Raw genomic sequence first — 26,299 nt, forward strand, 5'->3', positions numbered from 1 at the left:
GCCTGTAATCCCAGCTCTTTGAGACGCCAAGGCAGATCACTTGAGATCAGGAGTTCAAGACCAACCTGGCCAACATGGTGAAACCCCATCTCTACTAAAAATACAAAAAAATAGCTGGGCATGGTGGCAGGTGCCTGCAATCCCAGCTACTCAGGAGGCTGAGGCAGAAGAATCGGTTGAACCCAGGAGGTGGAGGTTGCAGTGAGCTCAGATTGCTCCACTGCACTCCAACCTGGATGACAGAGTTAGACAAGAAAAGAAAGAGAGAGAGAGAAAGAAAAAGAAAGAGAGAGAGAGAGAGAGAGAGAAAGAAAGAAAGAAAGAAAGAAAGAAAGAAAGAAAGAAAGAAAGAAAGAAAGAAAAGAAAAGAAGAAGAGAATGAGAGAGAGAGAGGAGAGGGAAGGAGAGAGAGAGAGAGAGACAGAGAGAGAGAAAGGAAGGGAAGGAAAGAAACTTCACACAACTGCTGGCAAGTTGGCTCAATTACCAATGTAACAAACACCTAAAGCAATTGTCCAGCCCCTACCCACGTTTTCCTCTGACTCACTATTTCACCTTCAGTAAACCCTCAGTGACTCCGGTCTATGAAACATTGCCAATACTTCTAAGATCTTCAAATACAAAATTCTATTATACAATCATCCCTGGGTATCCATGGGGGACTGGTGAAAACCACAATAGCAAAATCCTCTGATGCTCAAGTCTCTTACATGAAATGGTACAGTATTTGCATATAACCTATATACATTCTCGGGTGCACTTTCAATCATCTCTAGGTTACTTATAATACCAAATGTGATGTAAATGCTATGTAAATAGTTGTTACGCTACATTGTTTTTATTTGTATTTTTTATTGTATTGCAATTTTTATTTCTTTTTTTAATATTTTCAATCCTCAGATACAAAGGGTCAACTGTATATCAAACTATCATCAATACTAAGCATGCAGAATGTTATAAAAGTATGTCAACTATGACATATGATGTCAGCACCTCAAACCAAATTTCACTTCAGTTTAGGTTTGATTTGAAAACATTTTGATGTTATGGTTCTGTGGTTTTACAGAATACTTAAGACTGGTTTGGGTTTGAATAGGTTGAGTAGGTTTAAAGTGAAACATTTCTTCATTGGTTTGTGGTTAACCAATTTATTGTTTCAGAAATTAAAGCTGGTTAGCCAGGCCCAGGTTTGAGTTCCAAGTTCAATTCAGTTCAAGTTCCTGGCAAATGTACAATGAGAAAAGTTTATGATTCCAAAATTATTATGTGCCAAAGATCCCAACTTCCTCAAAAACCACAAGTCTCTCACAACCCTCTCTTATTTTTGATGGGATAAGAGAAATGTGCCAGCAAGAGGCTGCCCACAGCATCAACCCAAAGTCAAACCGAAGACAGGCAACACCTCATCTGAGAGTAAAGAAGACCCCTATGGTTTCACTTTCAGCAGCTGCAGTGTGATAACTGAATTACAATGTGTACCTTTCTTGAGCATCAGAAATCTCTACATTGGCCGAGTGCAGTGGCTCATGCCTGTAATCCCAGCACTTTGGGAGGCCAAGGCAGGTGGATCACCCGAGGTCAGGAGTTCGAGACCAGCCTGGCCAACATGGTGAAACTCCATCTCTACTAAAATACAAAAAATTAGCTGGACATGGTGGCCGGCGCCTGTAATCCCAGCTAGCTACTCAGGAGGCTGAGGCAGGAGAATCGCTTGAACAAAGGAGGCAGAGGTTGCAGTGAGCCGAGATCATGTCATTGCACTCCAGCCTGGGAAACAAGAGCAAAACTCCATCTCAAAAGAAAAAAGAAAAAAAGAATTCTCTACGTTGACAACACTCAACCATGATATCTGGACACAAAAGTGCATTTCTTTCATTTAGAAGATGTGTCAAGCAAGCATTTGCAAATAATTGTTTAATTTTTGTAAGTGGATATATCAATGCACACACATTCATATATATAACAATTGTATATATGTGTGCATTAATGAATTATTCTCAATCACTTGTATTCTGATAAGATTTCTTGTCTAGGAGAAAAATGCCTTGGATGGCAAGGGGTACATATTTGGGAATGTTCTCCACATATGAGCACAAACTATCGTATATGGCATCAGGAAAATGTGACAGAAGATACTTTGCAATATCTTATTCCTGTTCATACCATAAGATAAGGTTGAGAATGAGCACATGAGGATCCGGACCAGGGGCTAGGTGCTGAGGCCTGCCTACAGACTTCACAGGTCTTGGATTCTCTAAAGCATTGGAATGGCTATGGGTGAATAGCTGAGGCCTATTAGACGATTTGCACTGAGAATAACTAGACTGAACAATATCACAGATCACAGACACCTGCAAACGACCAGTCTAAATTTTTTTTTTTAGACGGAGTCTTACTCTCTTGCCCAGGCTGGAGTGCAGTGGCACGATCTCGGTGCTCACTGCACCCTCTGCCTCCTGGGTTCAAGCGATTCTCTTGCCTCAGCCTCCTGAGTAGCTGGGACCACAGATGCACACCACTATGCCCAGCTAATTTTTGAATTTTTAGTAGAGACAGGGTTTTACCATGTTGGCCAGGCTGGTCTTGAACTCCTGACCTCAAGCAATTCACCCGCCTTGGCCTCCCAAAGTACTAGGATTACAGGCATGAGCCACCATGCCCAGCCTAAAGACAGATTTCTATTTTCATTCTGGTTTAAGAGAAAAAAAAGGAATGTTCAGTTTCTTCAGCATGGTTTAATAAGAAATATATTTAGTTTTTGTCCCCAGTTTCTGGCATACAGCACCTAAAATCCTTGGCATTTGCTGAGTGATAGGAGCACGTTCTGTTATTTGTAAGGAGTCCCATTTGATCTTACCAAAGTTTATGCTAATGTGACTTAGGATGGGGCCCCTAAATAGCCTCAGGATGGGGTCAGTCACCAGAAAGACCCAGTGATTATGGGGTAGAACTTTCAGTCTCACCCACTGACCTCTAAGGAAACGTAGGGATGGAGGGAGCTGAAGATTAAACTCTCTAAAAACGCTTTAAAAATGAGATTTGGGCCAGGTGCAGTGGCTATTTCTTGTAATCCCAACACTCTGGGAGGCCAAGGAGATAAGATCACTTGAGGTTAAGAGTTCAAGACCAATCTGGACAACAAAGCAAGACGCTTGTCTCTACAAAAAAAAAAAAAATTTAATTAGCCGGATGTGGTGGTGCACACCTGTAGTCCCGGCTACTCGAGAGACTGAAGTGGGAGGACCCCTTAAGTCCAGGAGTTCAAGGCCGCAGTGAGCTATGATGGTGCCACTGCACTCCAGCCAGGGCAACAGAGCAAGACTCTGTCCAACCCATCCCCCAAAAAAAAGGTAAAAAAAAAAAAAAAAGTTTTTTAAAAAAAGTAAAAATGAGATTTGATGAGCTTCCAGGTTGGTAAGCACATTCATGTGCTGGGAGAGTGGTACACCCCAACTCCCAGGGAACAGAAGATTCTGCACTTAGGATCTTTCCAAACCTTGCCCTGTTAACCTCTTTGTCTGGCTATTCATCTTTATCCTTTATAATAAACTGGTAAATGTAAGTAAAGTGTTTCTCTAAGTTCTGAGTTGTTCAAGCAAATTATCAAACTGAAAGAAGGGCATAAGAATCTCCAGTTTATAGGCCGGGCACGGTGGCTCACGCCTGTAATCCCAGCACTTTGGGAGGACAAGAGGGGCGGATTACCTGAGGTCAGGAGTTTGAGACCAGCCTGGCCAATATGGTGAAACCTGGTCTCTACTAAAAATACAGAAATTAGCTGGGCATAGTGGCAGGCGCCTGTAATCCCAGCTATTCAGGAGGCTGAGGTACAAGAATCGCTTGAACCTGGGAGGCAGAGGTTGCAGTGAGCTGAGATTGAGCCACTTCACTCCAGCCTGAGCGACAGAGTGAGACTCTGTCTCAAAAAAAAAAAAAAAAGAAAAGAAAAGAAAAGAAAAGAATCCCCAATTTGTAACAGGTCAGTCCGAAACACGGGAGGCCTAGACTTGCAAATGGCTCTGAGTAGGGGCAGTCTTGTGGAACTGAGCCTATTCACTTGTGACATCTAAAGCTAACTTCAGGTACATAGTGACAGAATTAAACTGAATTGTAGGACACTCAGATGGTGTTGGAGAATTGGTTGGTGTGGGGAAAAAACCTGCACATCTGGTGTGAGGTGCTCTGTATCCGTGTGGAGAAAATGCTTTATCAGATTTAGTATCCCGTTAATGTTTCCAACCCATTTACAGATTCTCATACCTTGAGAGGAAGCACAATAAGATGAGTTGACTTTGAATTTGCATGAGCTTGAGCAATGAGGATCACAAAAAAACTTCCTCAATATTCCAACCTCTGGATGGTACAGTTGAAAGAGAATTTAGAAATCCCCTCATCTAGGATCTTCTAAATCTAGCTGGCCATCAGAATCAGCTGCAGGGCATTATTTTTAAAATTCCATTAAATAAGAATAAGAATCTCCAGCGCTGGAACCTGGAAATGTAAACTTTAGAGAGCTCCTAAGGAAATTCCAATGAGCTTTGCATGTCACTGATTTCAACCATCAACCTTCCATTCAGATAATGTCAGCACAGACAGCTCCACCTCTGTGATCATCATAGCTAATATGTGTAAAGTGCCTACTGAGGACCAGACACTTTAACATATATTACCTCTAAACCTTACAACTACCCTCAAATTCACACTGAATAGACAAATTCTGACAGTCTCCTTTCTCTAAATGTTCAGCACTATTCTTACATAAAATTTATTCTCTAATATGCTGTTGATGGACATTATTAAGTTTCTATGTATTGCTTCAGAAAGTCCTGCCATCTAAGCACAGAAGACAAAGTGACTGAGTTGCATTTTTCACCTACAGCAAGCTTAAAGTATACACCATACTATTTTCAGGGTTGTGGCATGGGAAATCCCATGATGATTAAGGAAACTAACAAACTGTTGCATAATTAATGTGTTCACGAGTCACAAAGTGGTGTAAATTACCCAGTGCAAACCCATGGGGCTTCAGCACCAGGGAGTTCCAGGGACCAGGGCTCTAAGAATTCACCTTTCCCTTCCCACCTCCAACCATTTCCATGTGGGGCCAACTTATAATTTAGATTGATGGGCCCACCCAAAGCTCTAAGACACCTGGCTGTATGACTAGGTTTTCACACACAAATTGGTTTGGCTCTCATTGAAAATATCCACAGCTAAGCTGAGTGGGGTGGCAACGAGCCTGTAATCCCTATTACTGAAAGGCTGAGGCGGGATGATCATTTGAGCCCAAGAGTTCCAGTCTACCCTGGGCAAGATAGCAAGACCCCATCTCAAAATAAGTGTATCCACAGCAAAATAAGTTTAACTTCAGGAAATTGTGTTGCTAATGTTTCTACTGCTGCTTGCTCCTGGAAATACTAGCAACGAACACTTTGTTAATCAAAACATTTAATCAAATGTTTCAGTCAAAACGTTTCACTTTTAAAATGACTGGCACCCTATAGAGGAATTTACCTATTGAGCATAGTTTGCCAAAAGAATAAAATAAAATGAGCATTCAATCAAGTTTAACCTAAAGCTGCCTCCTCACATATTTTAAGTTCAGCCTAAAGAGGTCTCCATTAGCGTGAACTGTAACCTAACTAGATGTGTAAACAGACTGCAACCTACTCTTGTGCCAATCACCAAGTTTTGGCCAAAGGCAGCCAACTCTTCAAACCAGGCAAATGCTGAGCTGTAACCAATTCAGCTGTTTGTGTACCTCACTTCTGTTTTCTGTATGTCACTTTTCTTTCTCTGTCTATACATCATCTTCTACCACATGGCTATGCTGGAGTCTCTCTGAGCCTACTCTGGTCCGGGAGGCTGCCTGATCCATGACATGCTCTTTGCTCAATTATACTGTTAAATTTAATTTGTCTGAGGTTTTTCTTTTAATATGAGACAGCATCTGATATTACCCGTGCCGTCACTCCCAGCAGCTCAGGGAGTCAGGCCTCACCTCTTTTACGTCATTTCTGAACCCCAATCAAAGCCTCCCAAAGGAATGTTTTGGCAGCCTGAAGACATAGCTAATCCCCTTATAAATAGCTGTTCTTCTAAATTACCAGAAAATTGAATGGATTATAACACAATAGAGCTGTAAAAGTTAGTGCCTCCAAAATAAACCTCAACTATGCTTCTCTTGTGATTATTTAATCTCCTTCAGTCAATCATGTTAATTATGTTATCTACGCCAAACTGTGGATAAAACAGGAAGGATATACAGAGATTCTTCTACAAATTAAAACCTTCATGAGCTCTATTTACAGAAACATGGATATTTAGGGAACTTCAAAATCACTGGGTAGCAGCTAACATTAGTCTTCCAGGTTCATTCGTGGCCATTATCATGGCTTGATCCTCTCAGCAATCATCAGAGGAAGCAGTCAGGGAACAGTGGAAGGAGAAGTATAAAATGAAGCAAGAAATAAGTTTGAGTCCAGATTCTTTACCTTGTTATCTGATAAACAGTTATTTAATCTATCTGGACCTCAATTTCCTTACCTATAAAATGTGGGTGATGAGGCCCGGCGCAGTGGCTCACACCTGTAATCCCAGCACTTTGGGAGGGAGGCCGAGGCAGGTGGATCACGAGGTCAGGAGTTCGAGACCAACCTGGTCAATATGGTGAAACCCTGTCTCTACTAAAAAATACAAAAATTAGCCAGATGTGGCAGCACGCACCTGTAGTCCCAGCTACTTGGGTGGCTGAAGCAGGAGAATCACTGGAACCCAGGAGGCAGAGGTTGCAGTGAGCCGAGATCGCACCACTGTACTCCAGCCTGGCAACAAGCACAAGACTCTGTCTCAAAAAAAAAAAAAAAAAGAAAAAAAGTGTGAATGATGACAGCTACTTTCATTTGCTGAAAGATTAAATGAAATGAATATGTAAAAGCACCTAGCTGGGCATCTGACTTACATTTTCTTTTAAAAAAATTTATTTTAAGTTCATGGGTACATGTGCAGGATGTACAGGTTTGTTTGTTACACAAGTAAGCATGCGTCATAAGGTTTTGTTGTACAAATTATTTCATCACTCAGGTATTAAGCCTAGTATCCATTAGTTATTTTCCCTGATCCTCTCCCTCCTCCTACTTTGCACCCTCCGGTAAGCCCCCGCATGTGTTGTTCCCCTCGATGTGTCCATGTGTTCCCATAATTTAGCTTCCACTTATAAATGAGAACATGCGGTATTTGGTTTTCTGTTCCTGCATTAGTTTGCTAAGGATAATGGTCTGTTATTAAAAGATCAAAAAATAATAGATACTGGTGAAGTTGTGGAGAAAAGGGAACACTTTTGCACTGTTGGTGGGAGTATTAGTTCAACCCTTGTGGAAGACAGTGTGGCAATTCCTCAAAGACCTAGAGACAGAAATACCATTCGACACAGCAATCCCATTACTGAGTATACACCCAAAGGAATATAAATCATCTATTATAAAGACACATGCAGGTCAGGCACGGTGGCTCATGCCTGTAATCCCAACACTTTGGGAGGCCAAAGCAGGCAGATCATGAGGTCAGGAGATCCAGACCATCTTGGCTAACCCGGTGAAACCCTGTCTCTACTAAAAATACAAAAAATTACCCAAGCGTGGTGGCACATGCCTGTAGTCCCAGCTACTCAGAAGGCTGAGGCAGGAGAATCACTTGAACCAGGAGGTGGAGGTTGTAGTGAGCCGAGATTGCGTCACTGCACTCCAGCCTTGGTGACAGAGCGAGATGCCATCTCAAAAAAAAAAAAAAAAAAAAAAAGACACATGCACACATAAGTTCATTGCAGCACTATTCACAATAGCAAAGACATGGAATCAACCTAAACGCCCATCAATAATAGACTGAATAAAGAAAATGTGTATATATACACCATGGAATACTATACAGCCATAAAAAGCAGTGAGATCATGTCCTTTGCAGGGACATGGAAGGGGCTGACTTACATTTTCTCTTCATGCAAAACCAATGGGGATTTTTTGTCTTGACAAAGTAATTCTAAAATAGAACAAGTTTGCGGAACGAGCCAGTAAAGAATTTTAAAGAAAAATAATGGAAGACTACCATGGCCCCAATTCTCTAATCCACCCTGCATTCACCTTTTCTGCAATATGACTCCACAGCTCCTTCCATGAGAAGGTGGAGTATATTTCTCAGGCCCTCAGGGCTGAAGTTAGCCATGTGATTTGTTTTGACCAATGAGACATTAGAAAACTTGCTGCAAGCAGAGGCTTCACAAAGTGCTTGTGCATTTGCTTCCTGTTTTGCCTTCTGCACTTCACTGTGTGAACATGTCTGGGCTAGCCCACTAAAGGATGAAACATATAGGACCCAGTCGCACACATCACCCCAGCCCACAGCCAGCAGACCACCAGACATGAAAATGAGTGCAGCTAAAACTATAAAAAGTACTCAGCTTAAATCACAACTACAGATTCATGAGCTAAATAAATGTTTGTTTTAAGCCATACTTCCTTAGTGTGGTTTCCATGAGGAAAATAATTCCTATAGAAAAATCATTTGTGTCTATTTTCTCAATTCTCCCAAGATAGTACATAGTTAATTCATTATATATAATAAATGCCTTACAGCATTAGATTTTAACTATCTCCTGGAACCCTGTTAGCTATTGCATTTTGGGTGGTTGTTATGAAGCATAATTATAGCCAGAGATAACTGATATAATCATACATTAAAATGCTTTATAAAGCCACCATTATTAAAATGATGCATCACCACAATGACAGATAAATAAAAGAAAATTAAATTTTAAAAAAATCTGTGGCTGGATGTGGTGGCTTACATTGGGAGGCCAAAGTAGGAGGATCCCTTGAGGCTCCAAGTTCAAGACCAGCCTGGCAACATAGGAAGATCCCATCTCTACAAAAAATGAAAAAATTAGCTGGGTACGGTGGCATGTGCCTATAGTCCATCATCTCAGGAGGCTGACATGAAGGATCACTTGAGCTCCTTGCAGTGTTTATGCCACTGTACTCCAGCGTGGATGACAGAGCAAGACCCTGTCTCAGAAAAAAAAAAAATATATATATATCTATATATATATATATAAAGAAGAAAGAAAACAGCTCCCCTGTACAGAGACTGGGGGTGAGGCTCAGAACAATGAGAGACCCCCCCCAAAAAATATTTTTTAAACAAGGGGCATTTTAAGTCTTTGGAGGAATGATGGAGCATTCAATAAAATAATAAAGTATTTTGGGACAAGTGGCTACTATATGGAGAACAAAAGCTTCACTACCTGTCATCTTGCCCTCAAATCCATTCCAGATAGTTAAAAATTTAATATTTTCCAAAGAAAGAGCTATATCATTAAAAATACATAAAAATTTATATTTTCTTCAAGTGACAGAGGGCTTTTGAAGCATGATGCCAATAAAAGAAGCCATAATGGAATGATTGATAGATTTAACTATGTAAAATGTTTAAATATCAGTGCATATTAAAGGGCAAACAAAATTTTAATTTTGGCACAACATTTTTATATTTTGCTACAAAATTAAAAGGCAAACAAAAAAATTAAATTTGGGACCAGGCGCAGTGGCTCACACCTGTAATCCCAGCACTTTGGGAGGTCAAGGTGAGTGGACCCCCTGAGGTCAGGAGTTCGAGACCAGCCTGGCCAACATGGTGAAACCCCATCTCTACTAAAAATACAAAATTAGCTGGTGGTGGTCTTAGCTACTTGGGAGGCTGAGGCAGGAGAATCACTTGAACCTGGGAGGCAGAGGTTGCAGTGAGCCAAGATGGCACCAATGCACTCCAGCCTGGGTGACAGAGCAAGACACCATCACAAAAAAAAAAAAAAAAAAGGAATTTGGTAATAGCTATTACCTACATATATGTGTGTGTGTGTGTGTGTGTGTGTGTGTGTGTGTGTGTGTGTGTGTATGTGTGTATGTATATATGTATATATATGTGTGTGGGTATATATATATATATATATATATATACACACATATATATTCATAGCAAATATTTATTGAGCTTCTGCATGCCACAACCGTGTATCTGAAGGTAAAATAGAAAGCAAAAACAGGAGCCGTGGCTCATGCCAGTAATCCCAGCACTTCAGGAGGCTGAGGTGAGTGGATTACTTGAGGTCAGGAGACCAGCCTGGCCAGCATGGTAAAACCCCATCTCTACTAAAAATACAAAATTAGCCGGACATGGTGGTGCGCTCCTGTAATCCTAGCTACTCAAGAGGCTGAGGCAGGAGAATCTCTTGAACCAAGGAGGCGGAGGTTGCAGTGAGTCAAGATCGCACCACTGCCCTCCAGCCTGGGCTGCCCTCCAACCTGGGTGACACAGAGAGACTCCGTCTCAAAAAAAAAAAAAAAAGGCTGGAATATAGCAAGTGACTAAATACAGGAGAGCATTCCAGTAAGAGGAAACTACATGTGCAAAAGCCCAATGGTAGGAGGGAGTTTGATATATTTGAGGGACTGAAATAAGGCCAAAATCACAAAAGCGCTGAAAACAAATATGAGACTGGCTGAAGAGGAAAACAGGGGTCAGAAGTCACAAGCCTGGCCAGGTGCAGTGGCTCACGCCAGTAATTCCAGCACTTTGGGAGGCCAAGGCAGTAGTATCGCTTGAGCCCAAGAGTTCAAGATCAGCCTGGGCAACATGGCAAAACCCTGACACTACCAAAAAATACAGAAATTAGAGAGGCATGGTGGTGAGCACCTGTAGCACCATCTACTTGGGAGGCTGAGGTGGGAGGATGGCTTGAGCCTGAGAGGTGGAGGCTGCAGTGAGCCGAGATCACACCACTGGACTCCAGCCTGGGTAACAAAGACAAACCCTGACTCAAAAAAAAAAAAAAGAAGAAAGGTACTTGAAGGACTTTGATTTGCTGGCTGATATGATCAGATCTGAATTTTGTAAAACCTTTCTGACTGACTCAAGCATCTGCAGTGAGTTTCTGTCTCAGTGCAGGCAAGAGCACTAGGAATTTGGTCTAGTGTGGTGCTAGTGAAGATATTGACAAGTGAATAGATTCAAGAGGAGACACTTTTTTATTTTTATTTTTTGTACAGATGGGGGTCTCACTGGGTTGCTTAGGCTGGTCTCAAACTCCTGGTCTCAAGCGATCTACCCCCTCACGGCCTCCCAAAGTGTTAGGATTACAGGCATGAGCCACCACGCCCCATGGAGAGATAATTTAATGATAAACACACTGGAGCTTGTTAGGATTAGGGAGTGAATGACCAGGCATGGTGGCTCATGCCTATAATCTCAGCACTTTGGGAGGACAAGGTGGGTGGATCACCTGAAGTCAGGAGTTCATCACCCGCCTGGCCAACATGGTGAAACCCCATCTCTACTAAAAACACAAAATTAGCCGGGCATAGTGGTGGCCACCTATAATCCCAGCTACTTGAGAGGCTGAGGCAGGGGAATCACTTGAACCGGGGAGGTGGAGGTTGCAGTGAGCACGAGATCATGCCACTGCACTCTAGCCTGGGTGACAGAGCGAGACTTTGTCTAAAAAAAAAAAGATTAGGGAGTGAAGGAGGGAAGGTAATTATCTACTGTGCCAGAATGTGAGAGTGGCTTATGAGTTTTATCTTAAACTCAGGAGGCTGAGATGGGAGGATCACTTGAGCCCAGGCAGTGGAGGCTGCAGTGAGCCATGACTGTGCCACTGTACTACAGCCTGGGCAACAGAGTGAGATTCTGTCTCAAATATATATATATATACACACACATATATATATATTTATACTTATATATAAATATATATATGCCTCTACTATATATATCATATATATATCGTATATGTATATATATATCAAATATATATATCAAATACATATATATCAAATATATATATATATATATACACACACACACTACTCTGTTTAAAATATGTGAGAGATTTGTTTAATACCTAAATGAATGATGTTAGGCTTCATCATCAGGGTTTGTTAAGAAATAAAAATTGAAAGTAAATTTAAATATCAAAATGATACAATGTTTGTAAAGTGCTTAGTTCAGTACCTGACACAAATATTCATTTCCTTTCTTTTCTGCTTTATTCAAGTAATACTAAAGGCTAAGGCTATTGGAAGATTATGTGGGTTGGGCAAGGCAGCTCACACTTGTAATCCCAGCACTTTGGGAGTCCAAGGTGGGAGGATCACTTGAGGCCAGGAGTTTGAGACCAGCCTGGGCAACATAAGTGATACCCTGCCTCTAAAAAAAAAAGAAAAAGAAAAGAAATGAAAGGTTATGTGCAATTGATGTTGGGTGTTCTGCTTTATCAGTATTTGTTTTAATCAAATAAATCAAATACATTCTACGTTCAGTTACTTCCAATCTATGTCACCTCTTCCATGTTCTTTTAGTACTTATACACGTCTATTATAATAGTATGATTCAATTAATATACAGATAATAGGCAACCAAATATTTTACAAAATACTATTCAGTAGTTTTGGTTATAGTATCTTGTAGAAAGATATTCAGGATACAATTAAACATATACACACATTATAGGTGAGAAAATAGATGCATGAAGAATGTAACTTGTTTAAGGTCAAGAATATAACCAAAAGGAGTAGCAAATAATGTCTTTTCTTTCTAAAAGTTTGCCATAGCTGAAACACAACAGGAATCAGCATGCTACTTGACATTATAAATGCATTCCATCAGGTGCCCAGGCATATGAAAATTAGGTGTTCCTGCTTTATTCATAAGTTAGACATCAACTAACATTACTCTGCAGCAAATTCCTCTACACAAGGAAATCTATCTAAATCCTTCCAAAATGTCCTAATAAGAAAATAAAATAAGTAGAATTAAAGCTGTACTAGGCTAGGGCACATTTATATTACTGACAACTATAGATTATTCAGTAATACCTCTCAGTGCACCAGTAAGCAGAGAGCATGGAGAGCTAATAAAAGTAATGAAGTCTTCGTAGTACGTGAACTCACTGCTATTAAATCTCTTCTGAGAAATAGGATGAGCCTGCCAAGTTTGTTGGGAGGAAGGCTGAATGTGTAGGCTGTTGAAGTGAAAATAAGTAGAGCCATACGGCAATGGTGGCTGAGAGAGATAATGGCATTAATGCCCAGAAACTGAGTGCTTTACCTAGCCTTCAACTTTATTAGGAAGCAACGATGACATAAAACTGGATAGGGTTTATCACGTTTGTACTTGTCAGCTAAATCTACAGATAAAAATTATAGTTTTATAATAATCCAAAGCTTGAGTGTACCATGTGGCTATCAATATTGAGGAGCCAATAGAGGTATAGCTACATAACATAAACGTTATATTTTTCATGTGATGGCTGACCATCATTTGCCATGACTGTTTAAGGAGAGGAAAGCCCATTGAAGCATCCTAGTTACTCAGAATCCCTGAAAGGCCATGATGATGTTGAGGTCTATAGAAAGTGCTACTCAAGCCGGGCGCGGTGGCTCACGCCTGTAATCCCAGCACTTTGGGAGGCCAAGGTGAGTGGATCACAAGGTCAGGAGTTTGAGACCAGCCTGGCCAATACAGTGAAACCCCGCCTCTACCAAAAATATAAAAAATATCTGCGCATGGTGACGTGCGCCTGTAGTCCCAGCTACTCAGAAAGCTGAGGCAGAAGAATCGCTTGAACCCGGGAGGCAGAGGTTGCAGTGAGCCGAGATCACGCCACTGCACTCCACCCTGGACGACAAAGCGAGACACCATCTCAAAAAGAAAAAAAAAAAAAGTGCAACTCAAGTTGTGGGTCAGTCAAGGATTAAGCAGACAACGCAGCATGCCGGTACAGTATCCTGAGGTAGTAACAGTGTGGCACATCTACCACCTCTAGCACTAAAGGGTCAAGGGAAGGGAAATGTTACTGGAATCCAGAGAGAGAAAAGACTGTGCAGAAAAGATCACGCTACAGGAACTGTAACCTTCAGAAGAGAGACAAAGTCTGCTGCAGCTACTCTACAGGGAGGGAGATGGAGGAGTAAGGCCCCAACCCCTCTTCCCTCTGCTCTCCAGCAGGGGCCGCCCATTGACTGAACCCAACCAAAAGCCAGGGGACAGGGGAGTCCTGGGAAGTGGTCTCGGGGGCACTGAGCAGGCTGGATGGAGTAGGAAGGATAAAGATCTGAAGGGGTAAATGGAAGATAGCCCTACTGTCTCCCTAGTTTTGCCTAAGTAATTATTTTATTAATAATTCCCTATATTATTTGCTTGGTTTTCTCTCCAGGAGGAACAGTTCCAACATAAGAGTGGGTGAAGCACATTAAACCCCAATAATCAACTTCCTTAAGCATTTCCAAGTAACATAATCTCCTACTTCCCTACAAAAAAAAAAATCAAAAATTCTCACTTAAATCCCAGGAGATGTTTATTTTCATCCTACAAAGAATGTCTGTTGTTGAGTGATGACGTTTCTTTAAAGAGAATAATTAAAGCTCTCTGTTTTTTTTTTTCCTTTTACAAATCAGGTGAGCAATGTACTCACTCTGAACAATGACAGTGTTTTGGCTGCTTGTGAACCCTGGAAATATTGATCAGTTAAAAATATTCGGACTTGCATCTCTTGAATTTGCTTACTGCAGCCCTTCTTCCTGGTGGGCCGGGAAAGCACCAGCAATTTTGTTATCATGATAAATTACCCTCCCTGGTAGGTCACTCTTTTTTACCTAAAGTCACAATTTGCTCCTTCCGTTAGGTCATAACCTGATTTTTTTCAGGGTGACAGATTTATTGCTTGCTTTGTGCTCCAAAAAAAAAATCACCAACATTGCTCAAAATATAGTCCTGTCACAGTAACTTTGTATATTTCCCAATGGGAATGAGACTCAGCATGTATATTCCAGTTTGAACATGGTAGAGTGGGCATTCCCACGTTTCTCTGGATTGAAGCTGGGAGGACAGTACTTAGGTTTAAGTCACACTGCCAGTGTAAGGAATTGATAAGCAAGTATTAATATTTGTTGACAGAGTCTTAGGGGATCTTTTCTTCTTTTTAGGAAACTCAAAAAGCCAACCAAACAGCTATTCTGATCTCCAAAGCAAGCCTTTCTCATGGCTGGGATATTTTCCTTGGCCATTACGGAAGTGTAAATCCCCCGTAAATGTCCCTAAACTTGAGAATGAAGCTGTGATGCCTTCGTGGTTCAGTAAGATCATGTAGCAGAGCTCTCACAGTGTAATGTGGACTAAAGTTATGAACAACAAACAATTCCAGGCCTGGTCCATAAAAAGAAACCTACACTCGGCCCTCCATGCTTCCTTCATCAACCTGCCTGCTGAGGGTGCTGCAAGTCTCCAACCCGCACCCAGTCCCACTCCTGCACCGCACACTTTCAAATGCAGTTCTTCCAAAGAAAGTCCCAGCTCTGTCCACACTGGGGCCCCTAATCTCAGCTGAGTCTTTAACACAGGCCAGCATTCTAAGGTCTATTCCTAGTCAGCTGACCACTCCTTCTTTAACCTAAATTCATCCTCCTCCCCAGACAACTAATCCTCTCCTGATCTCAGTCAACAGCACCACAATCATCAGAAAAATCCTTTAGACGCTTCCCCCTCCCTGACTCATCCACCTGAAAAGTTACATCTCCTAAATATGCCCCAGATCCTTCAGGGTGTGGTGTGATCCAAAAGTGGAATACCATTCAATGGTTTTAAAAAACACTAACAATAAATGAGTAAAAAATAGCTGCATGTTTCATTATAGATAAACCTCAATAACATAATATTGAATGAGAAAAGTCACAAATAAATATATATTGTATGGCCGGGCACAGTGGCTCATGCCTGTAATCCCAGCACTTTGGGAGGCCGAAGCAGGCGGATCACCTAAGGTCAGGAGTTTGAGACCGGCCTGGCCAACATGGTGAAACCCGATCTCTACTAAAAATACAAAAATTAGACGGGTTTGGTGGCAGGTGCCTGTAATCCCAGCTACTTGGGAGGCTGAGGCAGGAGAATCGCTTGAACCTGGGAGATGGAAGTTGCAGTGAGCTGAGATCACTCCAGCCTGGGCAACAGAGCCAGACTCTGTCTTTAAAAAAAAAAAAAAAAAAAAACACGCATATGGTATGATTCTGCTTATATATAGTGTGAAAACAGGCAAAATAAAGCAGTATTTCACCTGTCATGAATGGCATTCTATGGCAGGTTGTATGACAAGGCCAAATATAGGTGGCCATTGTCTATATGTTAGGGACTGAATGTTTGTGTCCTCCAAAAATTCGTACGTTGAAACCTAATTCCCAATGTGATGGTGTTTGGACAAGGTGGAGCCTTTAGAAGGTGATCAGGTCATGAGGGTGGAGCCCTCATGAATGGGATTAGTGCCCTTAAAAGAAGTGGCCAGCAAGCTTACTTTCTTTCTGACAGATGACAATTTAATGAGAAGACAGCAGTCTACAACCAACCATGCTGACATCCTGATCTGGGACTTCCAGGCTCCAGAGTGTGAGAAATAAATTTCCATTGTTTATAAGACATCCAGTTTATGGAACTTTGTTATAGCAGTTCCAAATGACTGAGAAAATACTCCTTCTTCTCTATATTATTACTGGTTTCTCAAAAATAGAACCTACCTAGTTGCAGTGAGCCGAGATCGCACCGCCACACTCCAGCCTGGGAGACAGAGCAAGACTCTGTCTAGGGAAAAAAAAAAATTGAAACTACCTAGATGGTTGACACTAGTATCTACACAGGTAGATGAATGGAACACAGAAAACCTCGTCAAACTCCTTTATTTGATGCCATAAAAACTAAAAACCTCTCCAAAGTTATTACTTTACTTTCAAAATGAATTAAATTTAATATTATGGTAGGTATACATAACTCAAGGGATTAGTATTCTCAGGCTCATTCTAGAGCATGCTTTCTGCATCATCTTTGTAAGCATTTATTAAACTCCTACTGTGTGTCAGGCACTGTGCTAGCTCTAATAATACAAATATAACAGAACCAAAAAACTTTCTATTTTCAGGGGATTCACTGCCCACTGGAAAGGGGACAAGGAAAGGACAACAAACATTTAAAAATTAGAAGACCAAGAAGAAAATGCTATACTATAAGTGTCTAATAATGGAAGTGCTATAATAGAGTTTCTGTGAGAAAAGAAACAAGCAGGCCAAAAAAAAAAGCACTTAATTCTTCCCGGAAGTAAATCTGGGAAGGCTTCACTGTAAGGATTAGTTTTGTTTCGTTTCTGTTTGGGGTTTCTTTTTGTTTCTTTTGCAGATGCATACGAGTTCACAGGTAGGAAGAAGTGGAGGGATACTTTCCAGAAGCATGCAAAGCAAAACCAGCATAACACATTTGGGAAATGAAAAGATAGGAGAATCTGGCTGGGTGCAGTGGCTCACACCTGTAATCCCAGCATTCTGGGAGGCCGAGGCGGGCAGGTTGCTTGAGGCCAGGAGTTTGAGACTAGCCTGGGCAACGTGGCAAAACCTCATCTCTACCACAAAAATACAAAAAATTAGCTGGGCATGGTGGCACACGCCTGTAATCCCAGCTACTCGAGAGGCTAAGGTAGAAGATCGCTTGAACCCAGGAGGCAAAGGTTGCAGTGAGCAGAGATCCCACCACTACACTCTAGCCTGGGTGACAGAGCGAGACCCTGTGACACAAAAAAGAAAGAAAATATAGGAGAATGAGGCCAGTCATGGTGACTCATACCTGTAATCCCAGCACTTTGGAAGGCTGAGGCAGGCGGATCACTTGAGGCCAGGAGTTCGACACCAGCCTGGCCAACATGGAGAATTCTTGTCTCTACTAAAAATACAGAAATTAGCTGGGCATGGTGGCAGGTGCCTGTAATCCCAGATACTCAGGAGGCTGAAGCACAGGAATCGTTTGAACCGGGGAGGCAGAGATTGAAGTGAGCTGAGATCGCACCCCTGCACTCCAGCCTGGGCGACTGTCTCAAAAAAAAAAAAAAAAAAAAAAAAAAGAAAAGAAAAAGAAAGAAAGTAAAAGAAAATATTTAGGAGAATGAAATCAGAATACGAAGGGTATAATATGACATGTCCTTTGATATTGCAGACCATTGGTCTGCTAACTACAACCAGTTTTATAAATAAAGCTTTACTAGAACACAGCCATGCCATTCGTTTACATATTGCCTATGGCTGCTTTCACACTACAGTGACACAGCTGAGTAGTTACAGTAGAGACCCTTGACCACAAAGCCCAGAGTATTTACCATCTGGTCCTTTACAGAAAAAGTTTGCCAACCCTTGAAATAATGCAGAACAACATAATGGCTGTAAGAGAGAGCACAAAGGCATAAATCCCTGTTCGCCCTGTTTTCCCTACACTATGCCATTCATTCATGGCGTCAAACATATGGTACATATTGGGCAACTTCTATCCATTAAAAAAGATTACCTAATTTCTGTAGAAAAATATGGTTTCTTCATAAGAGTTGCTTGAGATTTTCAAGGATCTTTCCATGTAAGTCCTGAATGATAAACACAAGGGTTTCTGTTTGTTTATTTAAAGTACAGGCAGAAGTCTCCCTATGTTACCCAGGCTGATAGGCATCAGCCACCACACCCAACCCACAAGTTGGTCTTAATTACCTTTATTCTTGTTTTCTTTTTTCTTTCTTTTTTTTTTTTGTGATAGAGGTGACAGCTTGCTGGCAGCCCTCACAGCCCTTGCTCGCTCTCGGCGCCTCCTCGGCCTTGGCGCCCACTCTGGCGGCGCTTGAGAAGTCCTTCAGCCCGCCGCTGCACTGTGGGAGCCCCTTTCTGGGCTGGCCAAGGCCGGAGCCGGCTCCCTCAGCTTGCGGAGAGGGGTGGAGGGAGAGGCGCGGGCGGGAACCGGAGCTGCGCGCCGCGCTTACTGGCCAGCGCGAGTTCTGAGTGGGCGTGGACTCGGCAGGCCCTGAACTCGGAGCCGTCGGCCCCGGGCAGTGAGGGGCTTAACACCTGGGCCAGCAGCTGCAGTGCTCGACTTCTTGCCGGGCCTTAGCTGCCTCCTCGCGGGGCAGGGCTCGGGACCTGCAGCCCACCAAGCCTGAGCCTCCCCCCACCCCGCCATGGGCTCCTGCGCGGCCGGAGCCTCCCCGACAAGCTCCGCCCCCTGCTTCACGGCGCCCAGTCCCATCGACCACCCAAGGGCTGAGGAGTGCAGGCTCGTGGAGCGGGACTGGCAGGCAGCTCCACCTGCGGCCCCAGTGCGGGAACCACTGGGTGAAGCCAGCTGGGCTCCTGAGTCTGGTGGGGACTTGGAGAATCTTTATGTCTAGCTAAGGGATTGTAAATACACCAATCGGCATTCTGTATCTAGCTCAAGGTTTGTAAACACACCAATCAGCACCCTGTGTCTAGCTCAGGGTTTGTGAATGCACCAATCGACACTCTGTATCTAGCTACTCTGGTGGGGACTTGGAGAACCTTTGTGTCTAGCTCAGGGCTTGTAAATGCACCAATCAGTGCCCTGTCAAAACAGACCACTCTGCTGTCTGTAAAATGGATCAATCAGCAGGATGTGGGTGGGGGCAGATAAGAGAATAAAAGCAGGCTGCCCGAGCCAGCTTTGGGAACCCGCTGGGGTCCTCTTCCACGCTGTGGAAGCTTTGTTCTTTCACTCTTTGCAATAAATCTTGCTGCTGCTCACTCTTTGGGTCCACACTGCCTTTATGAGCTATAACACTCACCACGAAGGTCTGCAGCTTCACTCCTGAAGCCAGCGAGACCACGAACCCACCAGAAGGAAGAAACTCCGAACACATCCGAACATCAGAAGGAACAAACTCTGGACACGCTTCCTTTAAGAACTGTAACACTCACCACGAGGGTCCGCGGCTTCATTCTTGAAGTCAGTGAGACCAAGAATCCACCAATTCCAGATACAATACAGTCTCTGTCGCCCAGGCTGAAACTCAGTGGCATGATTACTGCTCACTGCAGCCTCGAACTCCCCAGGCTCAGGTGATCCTCCCACCTCAGCCTCCCAAGTAGCTGGGACTACAGGCATGTGCCACTAAGCCCACTTAATTGCAACTTTTTGTAGAGATAGGGTTTTGCCACTTTGCCCAGGTTGGTCTTGAACTCCTGGACTCAAGCTGTCTGCCCACCTCAGCCTCCCAAAGTGCTGGGATTACAGTAACGAGCCACTGCGCCCTAATTATCTTCATTCTTAATCTGACTGGGGCCTCTGTGGATTCTAAATATTCGAAGTCTTTTTGTTTCAAATCAATCCAACTTTGGTCTTTAGCTCAATATCAGTTATCAGTAAATAAATATTTTAAAACACAGTTTTCTCTGGACATTAAAAATATCATATTTTGCTACACGAAGCTTATTCCAAAGTTCTTATAATAATTGTTAAAAGCCAAATGATCAGGCTAGGTGTGGTGGCTCACATCTGTAATCCCAGCACTTTGGGAGGCTGAGGCAGGAGGAATGTTTGAGTTCAGGAGTCAAAGAACAGCCTAGGCAACATAGCGAGACCCTGTCTCAACAAATAAACTTTTTAAAAATTAGCCGGGCGTGGTGGTGCATGACTGTAATCCCAGCTACTCAGGAGGCTGAAGTGGAAAGGATCACTTGAGCCTAGGAGGTTGAGGCTTCAGTGAGCCGTGTTCGTGCCATTGCACTCCAGCCTGGGTGACAGAGCAAGATCCCGTCTCAAAAAAACTAAAAGACCAATTGACAGAAACAAGTATTTAAGTTCTCATTTATAATAATCCTTTTATAGTTCATTTCTTTTTATAATTATTTTTTGTCTTCTTTCCTTTTGTAGTTTATGTGTGTTAATTATTTACACACATGTGTGAGCTGTGCCTCCCTCAAACCTTGTTATGATGTCTACATATTTATTTATCACATCAGACACCTGTGTGATAGGTGTCTATCACATCAGACACCTGTCTGATGTGATAAATAAATAATAAATTCTCAGCCGGGTAAGGTGGCTCATGCCTGTAATTCCAGAACTTTGGGAGGCCGAGGCCAGTGGATCACCTGAGGTCAGTTCAAGAGCAGCCTGGCCAGCATGGCAAAACCCCGTCTCTACTAAAAATATAAAAAAATTAGCTGGGCGTAGTGGCAGGCACCTGTAATCCCAGCTACTTGGGAGGCTAGGGCAAGAGAATTACTTGCAGCCGGGAGACAGAGGTTGCAGTGAGCTGAGATCATGCCATTACACTCCAGCCTGGGTGACAGAGCGAGACTTTGTCTTAAATTAATTAAATAATTAATTAATTCTCATTTATTGTTTCAATTTAATAAATAATTGAGTAATAGCTAATATTAAATAAGTGTCTGTGTGCCAAGTCCTGAGCAAAGCACTTTATGAAGATTATTTTATGTTATCCTCACAGTAACCCCATGTGGTAGGTCTTATTAGCATTTCCATTTTTCATAGTCTGTCTGCATTAGGGCTTATGTATTCAGATCAATAAACATTTCTGGTGCACATGTTATGTGCAAGGCACTGTCCTAGGCATTTTGTAAAGACTGCAACAAAAGTGGTGATATCACAAGATAGTAAAGAGCTATGAGATATCACAGGAGAAATACAATTGCCTTGGTAGCTCCAAGACAGGAGTGACCACATCTCTAAGGGAATCCGGAAAGGCTTCACTAATCAGATGATAATAGATTTGGGCTTTAAAACCAAGGAAGCATCTCTCCTTTCTTCCCTTCTCCATGCAAACCACAGGGGCTCTGCCACCGGCCTTTAGCAGAGACACCGCTGCAGCAGAATGCTGCCCACACAACTCCATCTGGATTTTTGGCACATGATTTTGAATCTCCATTTGCCCAAGCCATCACTCTTTGTGACTCTGACTTTGTGTTTCGATTCTGCTTCTTGGTGGTGTTGCCTACTCATGAATTGGTTCCTGACTATGGCCCATTCCAACCTCAACCTGTCTACGTCCCCTGGAAAGAACAGATAGGACTCAACACATCATGCCTATATAGCTTGTCAAGTTCTTCAAAGTGTCTTCCTACCTAAAGAAAGATACGAAGATTTTCAAGTCTATTATCGTGTCACTGAAACCAATTATTAAAAACTTTACATAGCAAGAAATACTGGATTGTATTTGGCAGTGGTTGTTTTAGGAGAAATATCTGGGGCACATAATAACACCCCGACTCCAACCCACTCGTATTTTTTCAAGTTACATTTTGTAGATGATCTGTAATAACATGCCATCAAAAAAGAAATACTAAAGGCTGGGTGTGGTGGCTCACACCTGTAATCTCAGCACTTTGGGAGGCCGAGGCGGGTGGATCATCTGAGGTCAGGAGACCGAGACCAGCCTGGCCAGCATGGTGAAACTCCATCTCTGATAAAAATACAAAAATTAGCCAGGCAATAGTGGCATGCACCTGTAATCCCAGCTACTGAGGAGGCTGAGGCAAAAGACTCGCTTGAGCCTGGGAGGCAGAGATTGTGGCAAGCCAGGACCACGCCACTGCACTCCAGTCTGGGTGACAGAATGAGACCCTTTCTCAAAAAAAAAAAAAAAAAAAAAAATACTTGCACAGGAATCAGCAGAATTTTCCAAGGTCCCATCCAAACCACTATGTACATATGCATAATCTGAGTATCAGAATTCCCTTTCTTCTGTTGATCACCCTTTTGTTTTGTTTTGTTGAGACAGAAACTCTGTTGTCTAAGCTGGAGTGCAGTGGCGTGATCTTGGCTCTCTGCAACCTCTGCCTCCTGGGTTCAAGTGATTCCCGTGCCCCAGCCTTTTGAGTAGCTGGGATTACAGGCACATGCCACTACATCCGGCTAATTTTTGTATTTTTAGTAGAGACGGGGTTTCTCCATCTTGACCAGGCTGGTCTTGAACTTCTAGGCTCAAGCGAGCCTCCTGCCTCAGTCTCCCAAAGTGCTGGGATTATAGGTGTGAGCCACCTCGCCCCACCTGATCACCGTTTTCTTTTTGTGGCCATTAGAAGCTACCAATGAGACAACTCAGAAGATGTCATGTTCAGAGAGCTAATTAGAATGAACTTTGCTACTTTTTGACTTACTTGAAGAAGCCTACCTTGGGCAAGAAGTTTCGGAGAATGGGAAATGATTCCATGAGCAACATGTCAGAATTTCCTCTAACTCCATTCATGTCTCTTCCTGGGCATGATCAGCTCACAGGGAAGTAAAACAAACGCTGATCCGGTAATAGTGGGCATTGAGAAGTCTGTAATGAAAGTATTCTCTCCTCATCCTCATCACTTAGGGAGACCGTATGGTCTAATGGAGCGATCAGTAAACTCAAAATAGAAAGATTTGAGACCAAGTTAGCCATTAAATTATCATAAGACTCACCTAAGTTAATCCTGCAGTTTCTTCCTCTGTAAAATGGGTGGGGAGTGCGGTACATGATCTCTGAGATTCCCTTGTGGTTTTAACATTCTCTGACTAGGTTACTTTGCATTCTAGACATGCTCGTTCTCTTTTTTTTTTTTTTTTTTTTCTCGAGACAGAGTTTTGCTCTTGTCACCCCGGCTGAAGTGCAATGGCATGATCTTGGCTCACTGCAACCTCCACCTCCTGGGTTCAAGTGATTCTCCTGCCTCAACCTCCTGAGTAGCTGGGATTACAGGTGCCCGCCACCATACCCGGCAATATTTTTTTTTCTTTTGTATTTTTGGTAGAGACGGGGTTTCACCATATTGGCCAGGCTGCTCTCGAACTCCTGACCTCATGTGATCCGCCGCCTCAGCCTCGCAAAGTGCTGGAATTATAGGCATGAGCCACTGCCCCATGCCAGACATGCTTATTCTCTTATGCTACCCATCAGGTTGGCTTCCCTCTGTACAGTGGAAGAAATTCTTAGAAAGGCAGAAGTTAGATTTTAGGTCAAAATCTTTAGTAAAGATTAGATTTTTCTCTCTGTGGTCTAAGATAAGACAAGTACCACCTCTCAATTTGACAGGGACAAATTGACTTTCTCCATGATGACCTCAAATCAAACTCATAATGTGCTTATCAGGTGCCAGATAATGACGCCTACTGCAAGCTACCCAAGCCTCTCCTTGTTTATTCACAGGTTACTTTCCTAAATGAGGCCTTCCCTGGCCACCCTATCTAACAATACATGCCCAGAGGCCCTAGCCTCACCTTGGCTTTATTTTTCTCTTGAACACTTGTCATCATGTAACATATGATATATTTTACTTTTTTTTTTTTTTTTTTTCAGATGGAGTTTTGCTCTTGTTGCCCAGGCTGGAGTGCAATAGCATGATCTCGGCTCACCGCAACCTCCGTCTCCTGGGTTCAAGTGATTTTCCTGCCTCAGCCTCCCAAGTACCTGGGATTACAGGCATGCGCCACCACACCCGGCTAATTCTGTATTTTTTTTAGTACAGACGAGGTTTCACCATGTTGGTCAGGCTGGTCTGACTCCTGACCTCAAGTGATCCGTCTGCCTTGGCCTTCCAAAGTGCTGGAATTATAGGCATGAGCCACCGCGCTGGGCCAATAATTGCTATTTTTAAGAGTAGCACATAAGCTGGGCACGGTGGCTCACGCCTGTAATCCCAGCAGTTTGGGAGGCCAAGGCAGGCGGATCGTCTGAGGTCAGGAGTTCGAGATCAGCCTGACCAACATGGAGAAATCCCATCTCTACTAAAAATACAAAAATAGCCAGGCATTGTGGCACATGCTTATAATCCGAGCTACTCAGGAGGCTGAGGCAGGAGAATCACTTGAACCTGGGAGGCAGAAGTTGTGGTGAGCCGAGATCGCGCCATTGCACTCTAGCCTGGGCAACAAGAGCAAAACTCCATCTCAAAAAAAAAAAAAGAGTAGCACATATTAGGCTATCTGGCTGGCTTCATGTCCACTTAGCCTCATCCCAACTGACACTATATTTTCTCTTTTTTTGTGAGACAGTCTTGCTCTGTCTTGACCAGGCTGGAGGACAGTGGCACAATCTCAGCTCACTGCAGCCTCTGCCTCCTGGTTTCAGGTGATTCTCCTGTCTCAGCCTCCCGGGTAGCTGGGATTACAGGCGTGTACCACTGCACCTGGCTAATTTTGTATTTTTAGTAGAGATGGGGTTCCACGATGTTGGCCAGGCTGGTCTCGAACTCCTGATCTCAAGTGATCCACCTGCCTTGGCCTCCCAAAGTGCTGGGATTACAGGCTTGAGCCAGCTCGCCTGGCCTTATTTTTTCTTTTCATAGAAACAGGCTCTCACTATATTGCCCAGACTGCTCTCCTGGGCTCCTGGGCTCAAATGATTCTCCTGACTCAGCCTTCCAAGTAGCTGGGACTACACATGGGTGTCACCATGCCTGACTCCAAGTGTCACTATTCTAGTCCAAGCTGACATCTTCTGTTACCTGACATTTTGCCACAGTTTCTTAACTACTCTCCTTTCTTCCCCACCTCCTCACAATCTATTCTCTATATTGCACCCAGAATGGTTTTTCTAAATCATAGATATAATCTAACTTTTTTAAATGGGCTTCCTGAGTCCCTGTTGTCTTAAGGATGAAGATCAAATTTTTGGCCAGGCATGGTGGCTCACACCTGTAACCCCAGCACTCTGGCGGGCCAAACTGGGCAGATCACCTGAGGTTAGGAGTTTGAGACCAGCCTGGCCAACATGGTGAAACTCAGTCTCCACTAAAATACAAAAACTAGCTGGGCATGGTGGCGGGCACCCGTAATCCCACCTACTAGGGAAGCTGAGGCAGGACAATCACTTGAACCCAGGAGGCAGAGGTTTCAGTGAGCCGAGATCATGCCACTGTACTCCAGCCTGGGCGACAGAGCAAGACTCCCTCTCAAAAAAAAAAAAAGTACAAAAAATTTATTGGGGGCCAGGCGCAGTGGCTCACACCGGTAATCCCAGCACTTTGGGAGGCGGGCAATCCCTTGAGACCAGGAGTTCAAGATAAGCCTGGCCAACATGGCGAAACCTCATCTCTACTAAAAATACAAAAATTAGCCCGGTGTGGTGGCATGCACCTGTAATCCCAGCTACTCAGGAGGCTGAGGCATAAGAATCACTTGAACCTGGGAGACAGAGGTTGTAGTGAGCTGAGATTGTGCCACTGTACTCCAGCCTGGGGACAAAGGGTCAATAAATAAATAAATAAATAAAATGTACTGGAGAGTAACACCTGTGAAGAAAATGGAGAAGAAGCCAGGTAGGCAGAAGGAGATGTCAGGCTGAGATGTGCACCTGACATTCTCTCTGCCAGCTCATCAGGGAGAATGAAGCAAAGAAGGCCCATTAAAGGAACCCCACCTTGGGGAAGAACACTGGACCACGTAGGCCTTGTTTAGTCATTGT

The 26,299-nt window shown here is 43.1% G+C and overlaps 1 long non-coding RNA gene and 1 other non-coding gene across 2 annotated transcripts, besides 2 other annotated features; one reads left to right on the forward strand and one right to left on the reverse strand.

Annotated features, from left to right (window-relative positions):
- Positions 1,337-1,406: an enhancer, noted in NCBI's record as "active region_2294". NCBI's record gives its function as "activates an Ori minimal core promoter by ATAC-STARR-seq in GM12878 lymphoblastoid cells {active_cell/tissue: GM12878}" and the evidence as "EXISTENCE:reporter gene assay evidence [ECO:0000049][PMID:35858748]".
- Positions 6,807-18,619, reverse strand: LOC105371682 (uncharacterized). The gene is made up of 3 exons (XR_922404.1): positions 18,609-18,619; positions 18,415-18,487; positions 6,807-6,844 (listed from the first exon to the last, which is right to left on the reverse strand). It is a non-coding gene; the product is annotated as an uncharacterized LOC105371682 (long non-coding RNA).
- Positions 7,509-8,708: an enhancer, noted in NCBI's record as "MED14-independent group 3 enhancer chr1:199917477-199918676 (GRCh37/hg19 assembly coordinates)". NCBI's record gives its function as "activates an origin of replication core promoter dependent on BRD2, BRD4, P300/CBP and CDK7 cofactors, and independent of MED14, by STARR-seq in HCT116 cells {active_cell/tissue: HCT116}" and the evidence as "EXISTENCE:reporter gene assay evidence [ECO:0000049][PMID:35650434]".
- A 2,147-nt stretch (positions 18,620-20,766) lies between the features above and the next one.
- On the forward strand, positions 20,767-20,870 carry LOC124904853 (small nucleolar RNA U13). Its single transcript, XR_007067442.1, has one exon. It is a non-coding gene; the product is annotated as a small nucleolar RNA U13 (small nucleolar RNA).
- The last annotated feature ends 5,429 nt before the right edge of the window (positions 20,871-26,299 follow it).

Source organism: Homo sapiens, chromosome 1 (genome assembly GCF_000001405.40).
Source record: "Homo sapiens chromosome 1, GRCh38.p14 Primary Assembly".
In the NCBI taxonomy this organism is placed as follows: Eukaryota; Metazoa; Chordata; class Mammalia; order Primates; family Hominidae; genus Homo; species Homo sapiens.